This window comes from Homo sapiens, chromosome 18 (genome assembly GCF_000001405.40).
Source record: "Homo sapiens chromosome 18, GRCh38.p14 Primary Assembly".
NCBI lineage: Eukaryota > Metazoa > Chordata > Mammalia > Primates > Hominidae > Homo > Homo sapiens.
In genome coordinates this window covers 61,602,449-61,612,490 of record NC_000018.10, presented here as the reverse complement: position 1 = coordinate 61,612,490, position 10,042 = coordinate 61,602,449, and the positions used below count along the sequence as shown (strand labels likewise).

Here is a 10,042-nt window from a genome sequence, read left to right as displayed (position 1 = left end):
GAGATCCCAAAGAGATGCATTCAGTAGTGAAACCAGCATTGCAAATTTATAACCGAGACAGTGAAAGAGATCTAACTTAACCAATGCAATCTTGCTTCCAACCTCCAAGCTGTCCTTGTTCATTCCAGGGTATAGGCCAAACTTACATTGAGAGGCACTAGTTTATCATTGGAAACAAAGAAGAAAACAGCCCTTTACCCAAACAGACCCCCTTCTTACCTTTGGACTAGACTGCCTTTATAGGACTAACAAATTAGCCAAAAGACTGGAAATTTTGGTTTAGGAGTCATGCAATTGGAGGCTACAAGATTCTGACCCTCCCCAAATTGCTTCTAGGAATAACATCACTATTGGAAAATCTTAGATCAGTGCTTGAGATATTTTGCCAACACTGAAATTGATGGACCAGCTGGCACCACCCAGATTGACAAAATGGCTCATCTGATCTTGTGCCCCCTCAACCCAGGAACTGACTCAACAGAAGAGCACAGCTTTGACTCCGTATGATTTCATTTCCAACACAACCAATCAGCACTCCTGACCACTGGCCCCCAACCCACCAAATTATCCTTAAAAACTCCAATCCCTGAATGCTCGGCAAGACTGATTTGAGTAATAATATTTCAGTCTCCTGCACAGCCGACTCTGTGTGGATAACTCTTTCTCTATTGCAGCTCTCCTGTCTTGATAAATTGGCTCTGTCTAGGCAGCAGGCAAGGTGAACCCACTGGGCAGTTACTGTAGCCTCCACCTAATAGAATTCTAATTTAGTGCCTCGTAGAAAGAATGAAGTCCTTCAGTGATCAGCATGGGAATCATTTTGCTTAGCTTATCTCACCTAGGAACCATGCTCCACATAGTGTTTCATCCAGTTCCATCTTCATTAATTGAACATATGGGGACCCACTTGGAATGAAGAGTTGGTATAAAGATTAAGTTGAAGACATCTGAGATTCAACAGGTACAGAAAGGAGCCTTCTTGAAGCATTCCTTATCTGACTAAAAGCAGGAACCTCTGGTATGTGAGATTGCCATAAATTCTCTCTTTAGGGCAGGTCTTTGGGAGACAGACCAAGAGTTAACCTACCACAGATTCGCTCTTCCAGGGAGTTTCATGACCATGAAGAAGATAGACCACTTATCACAAACTTTCTTATCTTTAATTTGTTCTCCTAAAAATCCATCTATCATTCCTAAAGAAACTTATTTGTTTTTCCCATAGATGTCTTTTCTTCCATCTTCCTTTTCTCTCATAACTTAAGTACATAAGCCCCACATTCTAACCACTTCTTTGATTTACTGAGCACTCCTGCATATATGCCCATTATATGAGCAAATAAACTTCCTCTTCTTCTTCTTCTTCTTTTTTTTTTCAGTTTAATTTGCAGGCCTCCTAAGGAACAGAGAAAAAGTTTTTCCTCCTTCACAAACTCCTGCTGTGTTAATTTGAACTAGGCATAGTGCTGCGTACTGGGGTTGAGGTGTGGGGAACATAACCCACAAATATCAGTGAAATATAATCTTTGCCCTTTAGGGGTAAATGGGAAATTCTTATTGGCAGAAACTGTTCTTTGCACTAGTAATGACCCATTTCAAAGGGTCATCCTTTCAGATCCTGTTGGAAGGTCTTAAATATTCTTTTGAATTTGGGCTGGGGAGACACATGGTATGAAATACAATGGAGACACAGGATGTTAGGTCAAACATGAGAAAGATGGTGCAGAGCTTCGCCAGCTGTATGAGCCATGAAGTGCCCCAAGAACTTGGACAGCCCAGAAGTTTGTCATTAATCTTCCCCATTTAAGGAAGAGCTCTTGGCTTATGTTAGCATATTTGAGTTTCCCTGTAATCTAGATTAAACTCCTTTCAGAGGTGTTATAGAGCAGGGGTCCCCAACTAGTACCAGTCTGTGGCCTGTTAGAAACTAGGCCACAGAGGGGAGGTGAGCAGTGGGTGAGTGTTACTGCCTGAGCTCTGCCTCCTGTCAGATCAGCTGCGGCATTAGATTCTGATAGGAGCATGAACTGTGCAAGTGTGGAATGTAGGTTGTGCACTCCTTATGAGATGGAACAGTTTCATATTGAAACTGTCCCCTCCGCGTCTGTGGAAAAGTTATCTTCCACGAAACCAGTCCCTGGTGCCAAAAATGTTGGGGACTGCTGTTGTAGAGTACATAGAAAGAACCATCAACATCTTTGCTAGAATGCATGCAGCTTCTGAAGGCGAGGGAAAAAAAATCCATTTTACTGTCTCATTCTAGGTTCAATGACTAAAGCCCATAAATCAAACTGATGAAAGATTAACAAGAGAGAAAACAAACAAACAAACAAACAAAAAACAAAAAACAGTTCTAATTATATATGTATGCAGCAGAGAAAAGAAATGTGGCTCTCAATCACAGAAAAAAAAAATGTGGCTCAAGGAGGCAGCCAGATTGAGATTCATACACCCTCTTAGGTTAAGCAAAGGAAAAGGGGCTTGGGGCTTCTGTATGGGGAAGACAAGTTAGGGGAAGGTGAGGGGAGGAAATGTATAGTAAATAAGGATTGCCTTGTTATGCAGATAAGAGTGTCTCAGTGATAAGAGCTGTCTCCTGAGTAGCTTTCTTCCTGCTATGGAGGCACTTTTGCAAATGAGAATTTCCTTATTAAATATAAGTTTTCTTTACAAAAGGGAAAATTTATTCTTTAGTTTTAGGCAGTTAGAGGAAATTTGAGCTCTTCCTCCATCTGCTGGTTCTCAATTGCCTTTAGCTCAAAATAATCCTCATGCCAAAGTGGCATATTTTTTTTGGGGTGGGGGGGGCGACATATTTAGTACTCTTCATATCCAAGCAAATCTAGACTCAGGTTAGAACATTTTCTCAAATGATGATGCATTTGGATGACTAGTTGGCTAGGCTGGGCAACAGATTTAAGAGTGTTTGAGAAAAGGTTACTGCTCATTATGGCTTCAGCCTTCCTGACATGCCTACCTCATGCTCCTTTTTAATCTCATACTGCTAATTTCCATTTAAACACTGTCTCTTCTTAGGGCTTATTAGAATTAGTTGTCTCTGGGCATTACATATTCAGCATTTTGTCTGTGTTCAAAATTTCAGCTAAAGAGAAATTCTCCAAATTGCACAAGACATGATGGAATTCATTCTTTTAACAGCCTTGTCTCACTAGTTTTGTGTTTTGCAGAGGAGAAGGCAGCTAGATTCCTTTCCTTTCATGTAATAAAACATAGAGAAGAATAGGTCTTACAGCAAACCAGAAGCAAAGTTACAATGAAGACAAATATTTGAGAATACATCCAAGAATTTTTTGGGAAAAAAATGTGCCCTGGGAAAATAGATTCCAATCAACACAAATTAATTTCTTAGGAAAAAATTGTTAATATTTCCCTCCTCCTTTATTTCAGCATTGGCATTTTGATTATGGGATTCAATTCATGCCACAGAATGAGGACATGGTTTGATCCTGTCCAATGCAAGTCTTGTTGGGGATGAAAAATAAAATTTGGTACTAATAAGGTGTCCATACCTTAATGGATGAGAAATAGATAAGTTCTTCTGGTGCAGGTACCATGTCTTATTCATCTTTATGCCTCCGAAATGACAAGCCCAGTCACCTGTACATGGTAGATGATTGAAAAAAGTTTACTGAACTGAATTACTGAAGACAAGTGAATCTTGGGATTTGCTGTGTGCTCTTAATCTTTTGAGGCTATTGTCTAGGACAAGCTTGAGTCTTTTCTGGGAATGTGTATTCCTTCTTATTTTTAACTGTATACCTGAAGGTTTGTACATGGTTACTTAATCAGCATAGCATAAAATCCAAGGAAATAGCTCATTTACATTCTGCTTTATTTAAATTAGACCTAGGGAGATCTTACTCAGCTTACTTCATTATTAATAAATAATGAAACTATTCAGGAAGGAAACTTCAGTACTGGGGTGAGGGAGGGCTAGCTGTAACCATGTAGATTGCTAACATTTTAGTGAGGGCTGAGTACTACAAACACTGTGTATGAGCAATTTATGGAGTAAGTTTTAAATATAGCCTAGTCTTGGAGTCGAGGAATAACCAGATCAGTGATTGGTTGTTTCTATGTCTCATACCCAGAGTCTAGTTTTCCCCCTGTTAAAATTATGACCAGTAAACAACTGTGCTTTCTACAAAACTGGGAAAGTGCTTGTAATGGTCAGGCTTGAGTGATGTATGTAGCAAAGCAAAGTTGGCAGGTGCAGAATGAAAGATAGTGGTCACTTCTCCACTCAGGATTTATTTTCATTGTTTTTAGCTGGGAAAATAAATGTGGAGATTTTTCAGACAAACACGGTTTCTTGAAAATGCAGGTAATTGCTCCCATTGGTGTGCTCTGAAAGCACAGTGATACTTGCTAGGATAGATCATGAGCTGACATTACATTTCCAGGCTGGAACGCTGGCCTTTATCACAGCCTCAGAGGAAAAGGAGGCTGAGACTGAATGAGGCTGCAAAAGAGCTGACTGCTGAGACCATCACTTTTGCATATAAATTTTAGATCCTTTAATAACATGAAATGGTCTGGGTGCATTACAATTCCACATTAGGCATTGGCTGGCTGTAGACATCCAGGCAAGTGTAGGGGAGAAAAAGATAATTTTCTTTCTACCCAGTCTGAGTTCTTAGCCAGGACCCACTGTAACAAAAGATGGTTTAACAAGAGAAAAAAAAATAGAAGTTTATTAACATGTCTGCCTCATATATACATGAGAGTCACCCAGGGAAAAATGAGTAAATCCCAAAGAGATGGCTTTGAGTTCAGGCATAAATACCATCTTTAACTGAAACAAAGAAGGGTGTGGGAAAGGCAGGTTATGGGGAGGTAACCAGGAAAAGCACGGCAAACCAGGGTAAGGTTTATTGAGATTTGTCAGTGCTGTCTCCGCTGTTACATCTCTAGTGATTTAGACTGGTACAGAAAGGAGACACGAAATGGAGATTTCCTTCATAGATGTAAATTTTCTTTGTGTAATTTCTACTCTGTTTTCAGAGTTTCTCCTATGTCTGCATTTTCTCGAAATAATCAGCTCTAAATAATTCCTATGCCAAAGAGGCATATTATGGGGTAGCATATTCTGTTCTCTTACATGCTCCTTGCATCCCTTAAAGGGTTTTTTGTGGGGGGTGTTAAATTGTCCTACTATTTAAAACCATCTACCCTTAGTTATATAGTTCTCATGTGTAAATCTTAAGAGTGCAATTTAGGGCAGGCATGGTGGTTTATATCTGTAGTCCCAGCACTTTAGGAGGCTGAGGTGGGAGGATTGCTTGAGCCTGGGAGTTCGAGACCAGCCTGAGCCACACAGCAAGACCTCCATCTCTACAAAAAAAAAAAAAAAAAAAAAATTAATGCAAATTAATAATCTGATGAAAATCTTCCCACTTCCTTTGGGAATGCCAGAGCAGTGAGTCACTAGAGAGCCTTCCAGAGAGGGGAAGTGGCTGCATGCCTGAGCTCGTCACTCATTGGCACATCAGTTATCTCTGCCCTGCAGAGAGCCAAGGCGTCCTTCAGACAGGAAATAGGATCTTAGTGGGTGGCCGCCAAGAGCGCACAGACTTTGAAGCAGGAAAAGACAGTCTCTAGAGCAACATGGAAAGGATCCAGGTAAGGGAGCTTCTGTCGTCAGGGCCACATTGGCACCAAGGGGGTGCAGCAGAGGGGCTGACTTAGAAGAAGGCTAGTTTCTTCCCAATGCCACCCTATTCCACCACCCCACCACCCACGTTCTAAATGGTTTTGCGGAAGTGAATTGCTTAATTTCCCATCTTTTAGCCTTTAAAACATATTTTTCTCCCTCAAGTATTTGTTTTCAGGCAAAAGCAAGCCTCCAAAAGCCCCTTGGTTCTTCTCTGTGTGTCTCGCCCCTTCTGCCTTGTACACCAGACTGCCGGCAAGCAAGCGGGGAGGTGGCGAACAGCTGGGATCCTCCAGTGAAAAGTTTGCTCAGCGCGAGAGATGTCAAGAGGCTGGGATTGTCGCCTATCGGGAGGTGGGGAGCTCTCTCACTCACACTTCCTGGGAAATGAAGGAGAACTAATAGGCAGCCCGCATTTGCAGCCAGCCAACCTGGGTGGTATTCCTTGAAGTGAAGCGCTCATAAATCCCTTCTGGGGCCAGAGCCGGTTTCACAAGCTGCAGGATTTGGGTGGCCTGCCTGCTCTTTGGGAGCGGGCTTGGGAAGCTGAAGAAATTGAATCAGGACCTCAGGCCCTTTACAGACTCCCTTCTACACTTGGTTGCTGATTAAGAACATTATGTGGCATTTAAAATGGCACAATTATCTTCCGTTGGCCGTTCCTAGCTAAAAGTAGACTCCTATCAGCCCGTGACTGACGACAAGAAGGCTCTTCGTCCCTGTTTTTGAAATAAACATGGGTATAATCTGAATGTGTCAACTGCTTATTTCCTAAGGGAGTCTAATGGATAATTTTTAAAATCTAACTTGGACGTATTCATAATAAGCATCGTCCATTTTGCTAAGTTCTTTCCTAAGGCAAATAAATAGAGTCTTGCAATTGCTTTCTTTGTTCTTGTCAGAATGTTTCAGGTTTAGATTTCTCACCCCAGGGGAAGAAGAATGTGTGTACAAGTACATTTGGCAAACTGGGTTTGAAAATGTAGAGGAATATGCTTCTCAATAGAGAAGTTTCCCTCCCATATTTTCTTATGCTATGGGTTGGAAAGGCTATGTTTCCCTGTTTGCCAAATGCAAAAACAAACAGGCAAACAAACACAATTTTTAAAAAAAGTTAAAACAATAAGAAGGCCAGAAGCAATCTAATTTCAGTAATATTTTTAAGAAATTAATGGCCTGTATATGTGGCAACAGACACTTGGAAAAGATCAGGCCGACAGATGGGCACAAGTAAAGCCACAGGAAAACTGGGAAGGATGATAAATATTATCTGTAGGACATTTTTATCCCCCTTGTTAATTAACTATCCTGCTTTTCTTACAACAGCTATGCTTATTTTCCTTTTTACTCCAAAATTGTTTTATTTCATATTGCTTTCTTTCAAGTTTTCTCATATTTCCCTCCTGTGAGTTTTTTTTTTCTTTTTTTTTTTTTCTATCCCAAATCTGCTTTGATTTTCCATCCTGTGTTCTCTCCCACATCTCCTTCAACAAGGTTTTTGCAGGGAGAAAGGAAGGACATTTCCTTTGCCTCTTGTCAACTTCTTAACAATTTTCTTGCTATTAATGTCTAACAACTTTCCAGCCCCAGGGAATACACATACCTTCTTTTTCTATAAATTGTTGTGTGCTGTTCTCACTGCCCATCGTTGAAAATGCAACATGGCATTATTAATCTTACTCTCACTCTCTTTTTTTTTTCCTCTTAGAAGAATTCCACAGATGAATTGGTTCTGCCCTGTATCTTTGAATGGTTTTTATTTTCTGATGTCCAGTGTGGCAGCCTGGCAGAGACATTTAGTTGAAAGAACACGGGGCTCTGGAAACAACCAGTCCTCCTTGGTTCATATTCTCGTGTTGTCACTTATTAACCGAGTGACATTGGGTAAGTTCTTTTGTCCCTTTGAGCTAGTGTCTTCATTCCAATAACTATTCCTACCATCTGAGTTTGCTAATGGGTCTCAGGGAGAGGTAAGACATATATCACTTGGTACCTCATTTCATTTCTCTGATAGCAGAAAGTGGGAAGGTCATGACCAGTCAAGGGGCCTCTGAGTCAATCACGATTTTTCCTTCTGCAGAGTGTAATACCTTCTTTTCTTCCTGCCACAGAAAAAAACCACACTTGCTGAGCCAAAGAAGACCTTTCTGTTTTTTGAATAGCTTTGACTAGGTACATTTCTTGAAAAGGATTCTTCTTTGGCAGGAGAAGCCCAGATTTGAGGTCCCATGGTCCAGGAGGCATCTCATATACCTCTCTTGGTATGCCTACTGTCCCATTTTATTGACATCTCTCAGCAGAGTGGGAGATAAGAGGAGATGATGCTGGAATTCTTTCTGAGTATCAGTCTAGCATTGGCGGAGGGTCGAAAAACTGTAATAAAACTCTCTAAGGATTTGTCTAATTCAATAACTTAGATCTGAGCCAACTATCATCTCCTTGGAGAAGACTTCCCTGACCGTATGATCAAAATTACTTCCCCCAGTCACCCTCTAGTCATCAGTGTTCTTTTATCCTCATCCCAGCACTCACCACTCTCTGAAATTACTTGCTTATTTATATGTGTACTTGTTTATGTTTCTTGTTTGTTCCCTCCACTGAAACAAACTCTATGACAGCTCTTATTTTCTTTTCTAAGCCTCATTGCTTAGAACAGTGTATGACAAAAGTAGGCCCCCAATAAATATTGTTACATAAATAATTAGACTATAGATCTCACTAATGTTGGAAATGACCCCAGCATCTATAAAGGAATAAATATAGCAAAAGATATAGTTCTGGCTGGGCTCAGCTAATCTCACCTGGTTCATCTACCTGGCTGGGCATGTATGGCAGGGCAGAGTTTCTTTTTTAGATTCGAACTGCATCCTAGTTGAACACACTGATATATCCATAATGAAGTGACTACTCAAGAAGAATCAGGCAGCGATTGCAGTTTTATTTATTTCATGGAGTAATAATCACCACAGTTGATCATGCCTCCTCCTTTTTGAAAACAGTTTCTTACCTGTGTTCTCTCTTGAGTTTATCAGCAGTTGCACCCCACTTCAGTGTCCACCATTGGCTCCTGTCATCTCCCCAACCTTGACTCTCTTCTCATCTCTGTCATCGTTCATTCTCTAGGTGACTGTTTTAGTCACATGGCCTTGTTAGGAGTCAGAAGCAGATACCCCCAAATGTGGTGCTTTTAAACGCTGAACTGAAGAAGCCTCGAGGTCTCTCTGGCATCTCCCTACTCCTGACATCTCTCCTCAAACCTTTATCTGCCTAAGATCTAGACATGCCAAAAGGAACAATTGTTTCTTCTTCCCCTCTCTGTAAGTCCAAGAGTGTAATCACACCTGAACAGAACCTTTTCCAAGGAAATGTACAAGTTCATCTCTGTTCCCTGAGCCACTCATTCTCCCTAGTAATCCCCTCAACAGAATCGCTCTTCCCTCCCCTCCCATAACCTGCTCCACCAGGAAGGTGTGTAAGCTTCTGAATGCTCTTGAGGGGTGGGCAGTCTCTCGGTGGTTCTCCCCATGTATATACATTAAATAAATTTGTTTGCCTTTTCTCCAATTAACCAGTCTTTTGTGAGTTGATTTTTCAGTGAACCTTCAGAGCGTGAAGGAGAGGTTTCCCTTTGGTCCCTATAGCCTCAGATACCTTCCCATTCTGACAACCATGACATTATATTTTCAGCCTAGACACATATTTCCAGGATGTGTGATATACCCATTTGGATGTTGAGGTTGATTGTATGATGTCTACAGCCTTTGCTGTGTGACTCTGCATTCCCTCTCACTGAGAGGCAGGATCTACTCTTCCTGCCACCCCTGTGGAATCTGGGCTTAGTCATGTCACTTGCTTGACAGGATGAGGCCAAATTCAATGTACTGTAGGGAAAGAAATATCTTTTCCTCACCTATCACTATATTCATGGGTGAGGCCCCTATAACAAAAGACAGATTAAAAAGACAAAAGCAAAAACACGTATTTAATATAAGTTTTGTGTGGCATGGGAGCCTCCTGAAGAAATAGTTAAACGTGTGTATTTTTATGCTTAGGTGTAGGAAGAGTGGACAGTCATGGAGAAATATGATTGGAGGACAAAAAGCTGTGATCTGCTGGTACTAAACTGGGAGGAACTTAGCGAGGCTTGTGTATTCTGATTTTTCTCTGTGTCCCTGTGTCTTCAGAGATAAGGATGTTTCCTTTTCTCTGGGTATATGAAGGGTACTTCTTGAATGAGGGTCTTATGATCTGTTTCAGAAGAGAAGGGTAGGAGAAGGTCAGAGAGTGACCTTCCTAGGTTTTATGACCTGCTTCAAGGGAGAAGGGTGAGGGAGGAATGATAGTGACCTTCCTGCTTCTGCTGTTTTCTCA

General features: G+C 41.1%; 1 long non-coding RNA gene across 2 annotated transcripts in view, besides 4 other annotated features; it reads left to right on the top strand.

Moving 5' to 3' along the window:
- Window positions 5,013-6,212: an enhancer, noted in NCBI's record as "P300/CBP strongly-dependent group 1 enhancer chr18:59273512-59274711 (GRCh37/hg19 assembly coordinates)". NCBI's record gives its function as "activates an origin of replication core promoter dependent on BRD2, BRD4, P300/CBP, MED14 and CDK7 cofactors, with strong dependence on P300/CBP, by STARR-seq in HCT116 cells {active_cell/tissue: HCT116}" and the evidence as "EXISTENCE:reporter gene assay evidence [ECO:0000049][PMID:35650434]".
- Window positions 5,013-6,537: a biological region, named in NCBI's record as "P300/CBP strongly-dependent group 1 enhancer GRCh37_chr18:59273512-59274711".
- Window positions 5,265-5,900: an enhancer, noted in NCBI's record as "NANOG-H3K27ac-H3K4me1 hESC enhancer chr18:59273824-59274459 (GRCh37/hg19 assembly coordinates)". NCBI's record gives its function as "activates a minimal SCP1, AML or CMV promoter by ChIP-STARR-seq in primed H9 embryonic stem cells {active_cell/tissue: H9 hESC(primed)}" and the evidence as "EXISTENCE:reporter gene assay evidence [ECO:0000049][PMID:30033119]".
- The window catches only part of LOC124904314 (uncharacterized), a 31,764-nt gene continuing 27,267 nt past the window's right edge, over window positions 5,546-10,042 (top strand). Inside the window, exons 1-3 of one of the 2 annotated variants that reach the window (XR_007066395.1) lie at window positions 5,546-5,640; window positions 5,837-6,025; window positions 7,380-7,555. This is a non-coding gene — a long non-coding RNA (uncharacterized LOC124904314). Of the gene's footprint in view, window positions 5,641-5,836; window positions 7,556-10,042 lie in introns of both variants that reach the window. The other variant, XR_007066394.1, reaches the window with a different exon arrangement.
- Window positions 5,901-6,537: an enhancer, noted in NCBI's record as "H3K27ac-H3K4me1 hESC enhancer chr18:59273187-59273823 (GRCh37/hg19 assembly coordinates)". NCBI's record gives its function as "activates a minimal SCP1, AML or CMV promoter by ChIP-STARR-seq in naive H9 embryonic stem cells {active_cell/tissue: H9 hESC(naive)}" and the evidence as "EXISTENCE:reporter gene assay evidence [ECO:0000049][PMID:30033119]".